At 41.9% G+C, this 14,677-nt stretch overlaps 1 protein-coding gene across 14 annotated transcripts in view; it reads left to right on the top strand.

The window, feature by feature from the left end:
- FAM135B (family with sequence similarity 135 member B) overlaps nucleotides 1–14,677 on the top strand; it is a 367,708-nt gene that overhangs the window by 177,561 nt on the left and 175,470 nt on the right. For all 14 annotated transcript variants that reach the window (NM_001362965.2, NM_015912.4, XM_011517062.2 and 11 more), the window contains one exon: nucleotides 9,250–9,329. In NM_001362965.2, the coding sequence (NP_001349894.1) occupies nucleotides 9,250–9,329 (80 nt within the window). The remainder of the gene's footprint in view (nucleotides 1–9,249; nucleotides 9,330–14,677) is intronic.

Genomic DNA, 14,677 nt, shown 5'->3' with positions numbered 1-14,677 from the left:
GCTTAAAACAACATAACATTATTATCTTAGAATTCTGCAGGTTAGAATTCTGAAATGTGGGCTAAAGTCAGTATTCCTGCTGGATTGTATTACTGCGTGGAGGCGCTAGAGGAGTCTCCATGCAGTAGAAGAGTCTGTTTCTTTATCTTTTCCAGTTTATAGAGGCTGCCTGCATCCCTTGGCTGGTGATCAGCAATGGCTGGTCACGTCTTTCTCACATTGCACTACTCTGTCCCTCTCTCTCTGTCTCTTGCCTCCTTCTTTCTCTTATAAGGAAAAGACTCTTGTGATTGCATTGAGTATACCCATGAAGTTTAGAATAATCTCCAAATTTCAAGGCCAGCTGATTAACAGCTTTAATTTCATCTGCAACCTTAATTCTGTTTTGCCCAACATATTTACAGGTTCTGAACATTAGGAGGTGTATGTCAGGGGTTGGGGGGTATTATTATGCCTACCAAATTATGTAAAGGGCATAGTTTAGTGCCAGTCATACAGAGGGAAATCAATAAAGGATGACTATTTTTGTTACTATATCCCAGAAGGAGTTCTGTGCAAATCTAGGCTACTGAAACACAACAGCATACTGCCTGAAGTTTTCCACATCCTAGCTTCTTTCCCCATTCTGATGAAACCAATGGCCCATCTTATTTTGCCATTTGATAATTCTCCAACAATTTAAGCAAACTGCTCCTTTCTTTATGATAACTTACTTGACCCCAGGTAGTAGGAGATGGCTCTAAGATGGTTAAAAGATACTTGGAGGCCGGGCCAGTGGCTCTCGCCTGTAATCCTAGCACTTTGGGAGGCCAAGGCAGGGAGATCACCTGAGGTCAGGAGTTCAAGACCAGTCTGGCCAACATGGTGAAACCCCGTCTCTACTAAAAATACAAAAATTAGCTGAGTGTGGTAGCCTGCTCCTGTAATCCCAGCTAGTTGGGAGGCTGAGGCAGGAGAATTGCTTGAACCTGGGAGGCAGAGGTTGCAGTGAGCCAAGATTGCGCCACTGCACTCCAGCCTGGGTGACAGAGCAAGACTCTGTCTCAAAACAAACAAACAAACAACAACAACAAAAAAAAAAAACTTGTAGATTTACTTACTGAGTCTGTGAACTTGCACAAATCTTTATCACTAAATGTTAATTTTCCCATCTTTAAGACAGAAATCATAGTAAGTACATTAAAGACATCCTATGGGGATCAAACAGTATCTTGCACATCATATATGAATATGTGGTTTGTGGATTTATGACTTGGTAGAAATTTCCCATGAGATAAAAGGAAATTACTAAAGCAGTTTTAGCATTCTGTTTAATCAGGACAGAACCTGAATGGGTCAACCTAATTGAAATGTAAACTTTCACCCTATTCCTATAAAGTATCTGAAGTTCAATATAATTAAGTTCTTGAAGTAAGATTCAGTAGCATCAAGGGCTTTTAAGAAACAATTCAAAAGCACTTTGGAATCAGCCATAAAAGAGACGTAGCTATACAACAAAATGTGCTTCCTATGAGGGGTATCAGGGAAAAGGAAACACCCATCTCTGGAGTTAGAATCCTGGTTGCCCTTTGCCAACTCTGTGGCTTCGGATAACTGGTTAGATCTTTCCAATGGCTCAATGCCTTCCTTCATTTACCCTTGAGCTGCTACTTGCTTTCACATAGGATTTGTGGGGGATCAACCAAGATTGCATATATGGAAGTTGCTAGTACAGGTCCTGCCACATAAATGCTTAATAAATCTTGAGCATAGCTGTAACCACTTCAAGTGCAGTGGGATGGGAGAGGGATGCATAGCCCCTGGCAATGACTGACTCATTGTATTAATATGTTCAGAGAAGGCACCCTTACAATGTGACAGTTGGTGGCGGTGCTGATGGGATTCATGTCCCTTTCCTTCTTCATGAAATTACTGAAATACATAGATCTTTTATTAAAGAAATACTAAAAGTAACATCTTGTATTTGTGTCAATCAGGGTTTGCCAATTATTGGCCCATGAGGATTGAGTCTGCAAATGTGTTTTATCTTGTTGACACAGTGCTTTATTGCTAACGTTGTGGCCATGGCTGCCGCTGCTAATTGTTTTTACTATTGCTGATGTTGCTGTTGTCATTGCCATTGATTTGTGAACAAATATTTAGCATTTTAAAGATGTTTTATTACAAAATTAAATTTCTGTCTTCCCCTGAAAAACTGAAAGATCTAGCAACACGCAGTCAATGTTTCTGCGGGGTCGTAATAAGCCACTGCTAAGTAGCAGCTGCTCCTGTGGCCAAGGCGGCCACTGCTGCCCTCACACAGAGGCACATGTCATGGTCATTTGTAAATGTGCTTCCACTGGGATTTTCTGATGGTAGGTTATTGTTTCTTGTCCCGTATATCCATCGAAAGCAGAAAATAAAAAGATAGATTTGGTGGAACCTAAGGTTTTCTTACAATTTCATTTTTGTAATTTGCCTGGCCCCTGTAGGCGTTTGCGTTTTCTCCAGTTGGTATGGAGCCTTATCCTTTCCAATAGATCCAGTCACTGTGATTTTCCTGTTGAACAGGACAGATGCCTTTTATGTTTTTCAATTAAATGCTTTATTTTGAGTTAGTTGTAGAATCACATGCAGTTTTAAGAAGTAGTACAGAGACATCTCATATAATGTTTATCTAGTTTCCTTAATGGTAGTATCTTGTAATGCTATGGTACAATTTCACAGTCAGGATATTGATATGGACAGTCAGGATACAAATTATTTTCATCACCACGTGGATCTCACATTTTATGTTGCTCTTTGATAGCCACACCCGCTTGCCTCTCTCTCCCATCCACTCCCCAACCCCTGGCAGCCACTAATCTGTATTATATTTTCATAATTTTGCAACTTTAAACTTGCCATGTAAATGGAAATATACACCTTTTTCAAATTAGCTTATTTTGCTGAGCACAACTGTGTGGAGATCCATCCAGATTGTTCTGTGTATGAGTTGTTCATTCTTATTTATTGAGGAGTAGTTTCCACAGTTTATTCATTTACTAAAGGACATCTGGGTTGTTTCAGTTTTTAGTATTGTGGATAAAGCTTCTCTAAACATTTTGAACAAGTTCTTGCATAAGTAAGTTTTTATTTCTCTAAGAGAAATGCCTAGGAGGGCAATTGTTGGGTTGTTTGACAGTTGTATGTTTAATTTTTTTTTTTTTTTGAGATGGAGTCTTGCTCTGTCCCCCAGGCTAGAGTGCAGTGGTGCGGTCACGGCTCACTGCAAGCTCCGCCTCCCAGGTTCACGCCATTCTCCTGCCTCAGCCTCCTGAGTAGCTGGGACTACAGGCGCCCACCACCACGCCCGGCTTACTTTTTCTATTTTTAGTAGAGACGGGGTTTCACCGTGTTAGCCAGGATGGTCTCCATCTCCTGATCTCGTGATCTACCTGCCTTGGCCTCCCAAAGTGGTGGGATTACAGGCGTGAGCCACCACGCCCGGCCGTATGTTTAATTTTTAAAGAAGCTAGCTAACGTTTTCCAGAGTGGCTGTTCCATTTTACATTTCCACCAGCAATGTGTGAGTGATCCACTTTGCCTGCATAATTGCCAGTATCTGGTGTTGTCAATGTTTTTTATTTTAGTCATTTTGATGAGTGAATTGTAGCATCTCATTGTGGTTTTTTTTGTTTTTTGTTTTTTGTTTTTTGAGACGGAGTCTCGTTCTGTCGCCCAGGCGGGAGTGCTGTGGCGCGATCTCCGCTCACTGCAAGCTCCGCCTTCCGGGTTCACGCCATTCTCCCGCCTCAGCCTCCCGAGTAGCTGGGACTACAGGCGCCCGCCACTGCGCCTGGCTAATTTTTTGTATTTTTAGTAGAGACGGGGTTTCACCATGGTCTCGATCTCCTGACCTCGTGATCCGCCCGCCTCGGCCTCCCAAAGTGCTGGGATTACAGGCGTGAGCCACCGCGCCCGGCCTCATTGTGGTTTTAATTAGTATTTTGTCTGATGATGTTGAATATCTTTTTTAAACATTTATTTTATTGTATGTATTTAAAGTATACAACATGATGTTTTGATAAACAAATATACAGTGAAATGATCATTATATGTGAGCAGAGTAGCACATCTACTGTCTTCCAAAGTGGCATTCTTTTTTTATTTTAAATTTTTCTGTGGTAAGTACATCTAAAATCTGTTCTCTTAGCAAATTTCAGTATATAATACAATATTATTAACTATAATCCTCCGGCTGTACATTAGATCTCTAAACTTATTTATACTATATATCTGCAAGTTTATACTCTTTGACCTACATTTCCCCATTTCTTCTTTCTTTCCCTTCTCCGTTCCCGGTAACTATCATCCTATTCTCTCTTTCTGCGTGTTTGACTTCCTTTTTTAAAAATGTTCTACATGTAAGTGAGATCATGTATTTTTTTTTCTGTATCTGGCTTATTTCACTTAAGCATAATGTTCTTCAGTTTCATCCATGTTGTTGATAATGGAAGTATCTTCTTTTTTTTTTAAAGGCTGAATAACATTCCATTGTTTGAGTGCATGTGTATGTGTGTGTGTGTGTACATTGATATGTATTCCACAGTTTATTCATTGATTCATTGCTGGGCACTTATGTTGTTTCTGTATCTGGGCTATTGTGACTAATGCCGCAATGAAGGTGGAGGTGCAGATCTCTCCATGAGGTGCTGACTTTGACGTCCTGTTGGTATACATGAGCAGAGGGGGTTTCTGGGTCATATGGCAATTTTATTTTTACTTTTTTGAGTAACCTCCATGTTATTTTTCATAATGGCTATACCAATTTACATTCTTATCAGAAAAGAATACAAGGGTTTTCTTTTCTCCACATTCTCATCAACACTGGTTATTTCTTGTCTTTGTCATGATAACTGTCCTAAAATGTATGAGGTGACATGTTGTTGTGGTTTTGATTTGTGTTTCCCTGGTGATTAGTAACATTGAGTACTTTTTCACAAACGTGTTGGTAATTTGAATGTTTTCTTTGGAAAAATGTGTATTCAGGTCCTTTGTCCTTTTAAATTGGATTATTATTATTATTATTACTGCTATTGAGTTGCATGATTTTCTTATACATTTTGAATACTAATCCCTTATCAGACATATTGTTTGCAAATATTTTCTTTTGATTGTAAGTGGCCATTTTACCTTGTTCATTTTTCTTTTTTCTCAAGATTGTATTATAGCTGTTTAATATCTTTTGTGGTTCCATACATATTTTAGAACTATTTTCTCTATTTGTATAAAAAATGCCCTTCGAATTTTTTTTTTTTTTTTTTTTTTTGAGGTAAGGTCTCCGCCTGACAACCAGGCTGGAGTGCAGTGTTGTGATTTCAGCTCACTTCCTCTTCAACCTCCTGTTCTCAAGTGATTTTCCCACCTCAGCCCTTCAAGTAACTGAGACTACAGACTACAGGCATCTGCCACCACACCCAGCTAATTTATTTATTTATTTATTTATTTATTTATTGTAGGGATGGGGTCTCCATATATTGCCTAGCCTGGGCTCAAGCAATTCTCCAGCCTCGGCCTCCGAAAGTGCTGGGATTACAGGCATGAGCCACCACTCCTGACCTGGCATTTTAATAGAGACTGCATTGATACTCTGTTTTGCTTTTTGTGTATGAACATTTGAGCATCTTTTCATGAGCTTGTTTGCCCTCTGTGTGTCCCCTTTGGTGAAATTTTTCTTGCGTTTGCCCACTTTTTAATTGGTGTGTTTGTTTTTACTACTGAGTTCCAAGAGTTCTTTATATATCCTAGATAATAGTCCTTTGTCAGATAGTCAATTCTCAATATTTACAGTAGTATGTTCTGTAAAGTCACCGTGAACACTGAATTAACAAATGCTGAACCACTGTTCCTGGGGGAAATAGAGGGTTAGGTTCCTGTGAGCCTCTGGTCACATTTCTGCCAAACTGATCAATAAATAATCTTGTTTTATGTGTTTCTGTTTAAAGATACCCCACACTTAATATGTACTGTTGATTCATTACCATTGATCTCAGTCAGCAGCACTGTAACTCATAGCTGAGTGAAGCTCATCTAACACACATCCTTTCTCCATGGGGCACATCACAGCATTCCTGCCCTTAGGAACACTAGACAGCCCTTTAGTACTATGCCTGGGGTCCATCTCAAACAGTGGAACACCAACAAAAAGCAAAGAGTACACAAATATGTGAGACTAAATAAATTGCAAAAGGGATACTTGTTTTTAGTATTGCTTAACCTCAGTTGGGCACCCGAGTGTCAGAAGATTCAAACTTTTTACCACTGTGTTCATGTCTGTGAATGACCACAAAGGTGCTGTGAGTGTTGCATTTGGGGCTAAAACAAATTTTTTTGAGTAAACAAATTCCCAAATACAGAATACACAGATACTGAGGTCCACTGCATGTGATTTGCAACTATTTTTTCCCACATTGTAGCTTGTATCTTAACAGTGTCTTTCATAGCACAAAAGTGTTTAGTTTTAATGAACTAAAATTTATCTGCGGGGTACAGTGCCTCACACCTGTAATCCCAGCACTTTGGGGAGCCGAAGTGGGAGGATCACTTGAGACCAGGAGTTTGATGCCAGCCTGGGCGACATAGCAAGACCTCATCTCTCAAAATAAACAAACAAGCAAACAAACAAACAAAATTTATTATGTTTTTCTTTTATGGTTCATGTTCTCTGTACCAAGTCTAAAAACTCTTTGCTTAATTCTGTGTTTAGAATATGTTTTAGGCCAGGCACGGTGGCTCACGCCTGTAATCCCAGCACTTTGGGAGGCCAAGGCAGGTGGATTGCCTGAGGTCAGGAGTTCGAGACCAGCCTGGCCTACATGGTGAAACGCAGTTGCTACTAAAAATAAAAAAATTAGCTGGGAATGGTGGTGGGTACCTGTGATCCCAGCTACTTGGGAGGCTGAGGCAGGAGAATCACTTGAACCCGGGAGACGGAAGTTGCAGTGAGCCGAGATCGCACCACTGCACTCCAGCCTGGGTGACAGAGTGAGACTCTGTCTCAAAGAAAGAAAAAATGAATAATTTTAAAACTTTTCTCTGTTTCCTAATAGTTTTATATTTTTCATTTAAGTCCACAATCTAGTTTGAGTTATTAATAGTTTCTTTATAAGATATGAAATTAAAGTTGAGGTTTGTTTGTTGGTAGTGGCTGTTATTTTGTCTATGGATAGCCAATTGCTTCAGGACAACTTATTTTAAAAGGCGATCTCTGCTCCATTGAATTGCTTTTGCACCTTTGTGAAAATCACATGGGCATATGTATGCCCTCATTACTGCGGGGTGGTGGGTGGAGGTCCAGGCTCCCCACATGGTCTCCACTTCAACTGAACAGGTGGGGTTCTCTTTGCCATCTGTTAGGGATGGAAGCCTGGCTCCCTGCTGAAGTCCTTCTCTTGGCAGGTTGGGTGGGGATGCAGTGTTTTCATGCAGTCTGGGGATGGCGGCTGTCTAGACTTCCCACTTTGCCTTTGCTGGTGTGGGTGGAGGTGGGCCCACAGTGTTTTCTGTTTCTTGACTGGAGTAGACAGCTGTTGCCTAAAAGTTTTCTGTCTTGCTAGGCTGTTCTCTTCCTGATCCTTCGGCTGGAGGGAGAGGGCTTTTTTTTGTATAATTTTCTTGTTGGTGGCTATTAGCTTTTCTGGCTTCTTGGCTTCTCCAGTATCCAGTCTGGGATATATGAGGAAACAGGAAATGCAGAAGCCTCACCAGCATGTCTCTCCTTGGGTCCTGAGGTTCCTAACCTGTCTGCTTTCCTCTCTACCTTGAAGCATCTTCATTTGCTTGTTTTCTGTATACAGTTAGAGCTTTTGTTGTGCTTAGTGAGAAAAATAGGGTAAAGTATGTCTGTCACTTCATCTTTCTGGAAACAGAAGTCATAGCAGGTACTTTTGAAAAATACTCATTTTGGCCGGGCATGGTGGCTTATGTCTGTAATCCCAGCACTTTGGGAGGCTGAGGCAGGTGGATCATGAGGTCAGGAGTTCAAGACCAGACTGACCAACATGGTGAAACCCCGTCTCTACTAAAAATACAAAAATTAGCCAGGCGTGGTGGTGCGTGCCTCTAGTCCCAGCTACGTGGGAGGCTGAGGCAGAAGAATTGCTTGAACCCAGGAGGCAGATGTTGTAGTTAGCTGAGATCATACCACTATATGCCTGCCTGGGAGACACAGCAAGATGCCATCTCAATATATATATATTCATTTTACAGATACAGGAACAAGTTCAGAGAAGTTATGTGATGTACTTAAAGTCACACAGCTGGAAATGTGTCACTCATGCTGCAGCTATGAATCCAGCGCCAGTGCCCTTTTCTCTTCATTTTTGTTCATCATTTATACATTAAAAACAAGCAAGAGACTGCCAGCAGAAACATTCTACGAGTGTATGTGCAGTGCAAGGATGTCAATAGCAGGGTGCTCGCCCAGCTATGAGCTCAATGAGCCACAGGAGACTGATGTGTTCATGGTCCATTTTCCTTATATTTCACTTTGGTTTATTCACATTCCATTTCACAATGGGTTTCAAATCAGTAAAAGAAGAGAACAATGATGATGCCAGAAATGTCCTCAAATGCTTACAAGCAAAAAGTCATTAATTGCAAAGCACAGAACTTCAAAAGATGCTTCTGTACTTGGGGCAAAAGAGGGCACATTAGAGAGTTAACTGACATCAGGAGAACCTGCACATTGTCCTGAAATGGTGGAATTTGAAAATGGGAGTGCTATGTTAAAATTAAGGAAGGTGAAATACACAGGGAAAAGTGCATTTGGCAACACTTCCAAGAATAACTCAGTGGCTGTGTTACTAAAGGAAGTGGTTTTTGTGTTGCAATATGATAGAAACTCAATTTATAGATGGATTCTCCACTGTGCGTAAATAACCTACTTTCCTATAACAATAACCTTTCTTGACTAAATAAAACCCACACCTCTTAATGAAACTGTGTCACATGACCCATCTCTTTCTTTTCTCTATTCCCATCACCTCCAACCTTGTTCAGTCTTGTGTGATCTCAAGTGAACTCAACTTCCAATCTCCAACACTGCCCCGTCACTTCCCTCTCCAACTCTGCTGATAAAATGCATTTCTCATTGATGCCAGATGATTGTGCATGCTGCCAAGAAACTTCCCTGATTTCCTATGGCTTTCAGGATTAATTCTAGGTATTTTTAGAAGTCAACGTTAAGAAGGCTGATCTTCAGCACCCTGTCCTCTTCTCTTTTCTTAGGTATTACCAGATCCGAGTGACCTTGAAGGTGTCTTCAAGGATCCCCCACAGACTGAGTGCCTCCATCGCTGGGCAGACAGGTGAGCAGAAGAATGGCAATGGGGCACTTGCCCCCAATGGCGAACCTCCCTTTGTCACTGCTCGCCAGGGCACAGCAGAGTGCAAGGCATGTAGACATACTCAGTCAATCTGTGGTGAATGTTGGATGGCGAATTTTGGAAATGGAAACCAACAGTTGGAGGTGGCCATATGTGTACATTGTGGCAAGGGGAACCTGGCTTAAGAAAAATACACTTTCCCAGGAACAGCCAGTATTTGGAGATAAACTGGCTGTGGAGGGTTGGTTAAAGTCAAGTCAGGGAGGACGCTGGTAGGAAATGACATCCAGCAAGTGGGTAGAGAAGCCTGTTAAAGGGAACCTGGGAATCAACTAGGTACAGAGGACTGAGTGAGTAGGCGGTGTCGGTGGCACTTTTCATACACCTTGAGGGGTCCAAGAGCAGTGCTCCCAGCTTGAGGAGAAGGATTGCCAAGGACAACTCAGATCCTGATCTTGAGAAGGCTGGAGTACAAAGTGGGTAACCAGGGCTCTGAGCAGGTAGTCTATCACAGAGTGTTGAGTCAGAAAAAGAGAACTTACCATGCCAGAAATAAAGACAGACATAATATTAACTAGTAGAGCTATTAGGAGTTTGCATTAGTAAATTTGGGAGGACTGTGTAGACTAGCTAGACCTTAAGAAGAAGGAGAGGCTGAGTGCAGTGGCTCATGCCTATAATCCCAGCACTTTGGGAGGCCAAGGTGGGCAGATCACCTGAGGTCAGGAGTTTGAGACCAGCCTGGTCAACAAGGTGAAACCCTGCCTATACTAAAAATACAAAAAAATTAGCCAGGCATGGTGGCGGGCGCCTGCAATCTCAGTACCCAGGAGGCTGAGGCAGGAGAATCACTTAAACCTGGGAGGTGGAGGTGGCAGTGAGCCAAGATTGTGCCACTGCACTGCACTCCACTCCAGCCTGGGTGACAGAGTGGAGCTCCAAAAAAAAAAAAAAAAAAAAAAAAGTAGAAAGACTTAAAGAGTAGGGTAGAGGGTAGGGAGCATTAAAGTAAACAGACAGAGCTGTGCAAAATCTGTTTAATTATAAAGTACGAGTAGCCAAGAATGTTGTAGAAATCCAGTTCAGTAGAGCTAAGAGTACTGGTCATAGCTACACTTCATATAATTCACTTGGAATTTGCAACGTGTTATGGTGAGAGGAATCACATGCAATTGAATACCCACAAGTCAGGAAAGTAGATGTGGTGGTCTGCTTAAATTTACCATGGAAGACATCTGGAGGGGGACCTGGTTCCCCAGGCCACATGATAGAACATGAGAAGAGGCCTGTGGTTTCAGAGCAATAGGATAACTCAAGTCTGTGATCTACAAAAGGAAAGACACTGATGGCCACTGGCTTCTCCCTTGCCTCTGAGCAGAGTGAAGCATTAAATAACAGTCAAGTTGCCGTATTTCCAAGGTGTTCCTCCTCTTTCCCTCCACCCCTCTCTCCTGGGAAGGAATCAGGCATCTGATAAGTAGGCCACCCATTCTTCTAGGTCCAGTGTAGATCCAGAGTGATTTAAGAATCCAGTAGTTCCCTCCTTTCCTATCATCCTGTGCTTCACCCCTTCCCCACCCTACCTTCCAACAGAAGAAGGTCCCTGATGTCCACAGAGAGAGCAGGGGATTTGGACCCTGCCCTGCGTGAACCAGTGTCCATATGTGTACATTGGATAATAACATGAGCAGCTTGAACTTTAGTTTCCTGAAATATGAGGATAAAAATGCATTCTTCATAGATATTTGTCTTAGAAATTATAAATAAAAAGGACACTTTCTATTTCACAGAGGTTCTAAATATACATATGTCAGAACAAGAACCAGCACAAGGTAAGTAGCCAGTTAGTCCTACCTGTGGTCATGTCATCAGGGGTTTGAGGAACCTGCTCTCAGGGTCAAGGTAAAAGCCTCGGAGAGGAGACCTAGAAGTGAAGCAGAAATAACACCACAGCCAACCTGATGAAAGCCATGCCCAGGCTCCCGTCAAGGACTCTGCTTCTTCCTTGTGACTGTGGACAACAGGAGCTTGGGTCCTGTCACCGGATGAGCCATCTTTTGGAGCTGGCAGGCGCCAGCTGTGAGGACCAGAGGGCTGCAGGATGCTCAGTGGTTGGCAGAGCCCAGCGAGTAATGGGGGAAGAGAAGGGCTTGAGATAGTGCTGCACAGAGACAAAGAAAATAAAAAAAAAACTATTTTCTTTTCTAGTATAGTTTAACAGAAGAATAATTATGATGAAGTTGGTATGCCTTGAGCTTTACAGTAGCACACTGTTTAGAACAGAATATTAACACAGTGGCCAGCAATAATTTACAATGAGATTGTGCCCCAGGTGAGGGATGTGCAGAATTTGTATTTCTTCTTCAAGGTGAATTTTCCAATTATACTATTTTTGGTTAGAGACCGCTGCATTATGAAGCACTCCAAAACTTGTGACTTTTAACAATGGCTTATTCTTTTATAATGTTTTGAGTTAGCCAGCCTAGGCTGGGGACATTTATGCACTACCTTCAGCTGAGATCTCAGCTGAGGATGGAGCAGCCAAGATGGCTTCACTCATCTGTGTCTGACCCCTTGGTTGGAGTGGCTGCACCAGATGAGCGACAGCTGGGCTTCTGTCTCCAGTTGGGTGGTCAGACTTCTTACATGATAGCTGAGTTCCTCAGAGAGAAAATGAAGAGGATTCCAGGCCACTTAAGGGCTAGATGGAGACTGGCCCAGGGTTGCTTCCTCCACAGTTCATTGTTCAGGGCAGGTGACAAGGCCAGCCCCAGGGGAACGGAAATAGACTCTCGCCGTTCATTGGAAGCACTGTCTGCATGTACAGTGATGGGAGGAAACTCTGGCAGTCCTATTTCTGGCCAACTATCCAAACATATTTTCCATTATCTGTATGCATTTCTGACGGGAAAAAAGAAAAATATATCTTTAGGCAAAAATATAGCATATTGGAAGAGAACCAGGAGGAGTGAAAACATTTGGACTTTAATGATGTCTTTGATACTCAGTATTTGAATGATCTTGTTGGAATAAATGATTTCATTTGGCTGTTTTGTTCCATGTATCTCTCTTTTTTTTTTTTTTTTTTTTACCACAATGGGGATAGTCATACCTTTTGCCTAGGGTTTCAGAGAGGATTTGAGGACATGATGACAAAGCCCCTAGCATAGTGCTTGATACAAAATGGGAAAAATAAAATGCAGCTGTTATTATTAATATTATCAGTTAATAAAAAGTCTTACCATTCAAGGGAAGTCAAGCATTCAAGGGAAGCTTGCAGGTGGAACCAACAGAAGTGTTCCTAAGGCAGAGGTGACAGAAGGGATATTTAAACAGGGTGATTTGATGTAAGTGAGACAGAGGGCCCTCATAGCATGGGTGAAGGGGTGCTGTATTAGTCTGTTTTCATGCTGCTGATAAAGACATACGCAAGACTGGGCCATTTACATAATAAAAGGTTTAATTAGACTTATAGTTCTGCACGGGTGGGGAAACCTCACAATCACCAGGGAAGGCAAGAAGGAACAAGTCACATCTTACATGGATGGCAGCAGGCAAATAGAGACAGAGTTTGTATAGGAGAACTCCTCTTTTTAAAACTCAGATCTCATGAGACCTATTCACTATCACAATAACAGCATGGGAAATACTTGCCTCCATGATTCAGTTACCTCCCACTGGGTCCCTCCCACAACATGTGGGAATTCAAGATGAGATTTGGGTGGGGACATAGCAAAACCATGTCAGGTGCCAAGGTTAAACAGGAGGGATGTTGCTGAACATTCAGTGTGAAGGTAAGATGGGAAGATGGACATCGATGGACGATAAGAGAGTGGGATACAGGAATGGCTGGGACAACCAGCTCAGGACCAAGACTGTGACCAGCAGCATTTGCTAATCTCTGTGTCCACAATGGCCTTAAAGAATGATACAGCCTGTGGCCAGGTGAGGTGGCTCACACCTGTAATCCCAGCACTTTGGGAGGCCGAGGCAGGCAGATCACCTGAGGTCAGGAGTTCAGGACCAGCCTGGCCAACATGGCAAAAGCCCATCTCTACTAAAAATAGAAAAAATTAGCCAGGCGTGGTGGTGCACACCTGTAGTCCCGGCTACTTGGGGGACTGAGACAGGAGAATTGCTTGAACCCGGGAGGCAGAGGTTGCAGTGAGCAGAGATCGCGCCACTGCTCTCCAGCCTGGGTGACAGAGTGAGACTCTGTCTCAAAAAAAAAAAAAAAAGAATGATACACTGTGACAGGCTTTTTGTATTATTGCTGCATTCCTGTGGACCCTTAGAGAGACGAGGTCTAAACATTCAAGGGAAAGCCAGGTTGTACAGTCTCATCTGGTAGTTTCCTTTTCTTTCTTTTTTTTTTTTCTTTTTTTTTCGAGACGGAGTCTTGCTCAGTCTCCCAGACTGGAGTGTAGTGGTGCAATCTCGGCTCACCACAACCTCCACCTTTCGGGTTCAAATGATTCCCCTGCCTCAGCCTCCCAAGTGTCTGGGATTACAGGTGTGTGCCACCATGCCTGGTTAATTTTCATATTTTTAGTAGAGATGGAGTTTTACCATGTTGGCCAGGCTGGTCTTGCACTCCTGACCTCAAGTGATCTGCCCGCCTCAGCCTCCCAAAGTGCTGGTATTACAGGCGTGAGCCACCACGCCTGGCCTCATCTAATAGTTTCTAAGAGGAGGCCTGCCAATAGGATGTGGCTTGCCAACAGCTAGTTATGCAGATAGAACAGAACATAAATTTTTCTTAGTAAAAGTGTGATGGGGATTTTCAGAAACTTCATTGTGTGTCTCAGTACTCAAATTGAATGCTACTTTCACTATTCTTTGTAGTAATCATAAGACATAACATATACACACACAAACATACATGCATATGTATACATATACATGCATGTGTGTATATAATTTCAAGTGGTCTTCCTATACATATAAATGTCTATACATATAAATATATACATGTATATATATGTGTGTATGTATAATTGATTTGGTCTGTCTTATTTCTAACATGCTCACTTATTATACTTGTCAGTCAAGCATATGACATTTGGATCAAAACTGATATTTATCTGAGTTCAACAAATTTTTCAGATGCCTCCTACAAGCCAGAAATTGTACTATGCCCTGAGAAATACAAAGATGAATGTTAATTAATTGAATGTGAGAGTTCAGGTATTCCAGGAAGATAAAACAGGTGTAAGACATTTTAAAATGTAATTATGCTTTCTTCAAAGGCTTGCTTATGTTTTGCGGGTCTCAGATTTGTTTTTTTCTTTTGAGTTCAGGGTTACAAATAATTGGTATGTCCATGTCTG

Source organism: Homo sapiens, chromosome 8 (assembly GCF_000001405.40).
Source record: "Homo sapiens chromosome 8, GRCh38.p14 Primary Assembly".
NCBI classification, from domain to species: domain Eukaryota; kingdom Metazoa; phylum Chordata; class Mammalia; order Primates; family Hominidae; genus Homo; species Homo sapiens.
Note: the sequence above shows the minus strand (reverse complement) of the source record. Positions and strands in the feature narration are given on the sequence as shown.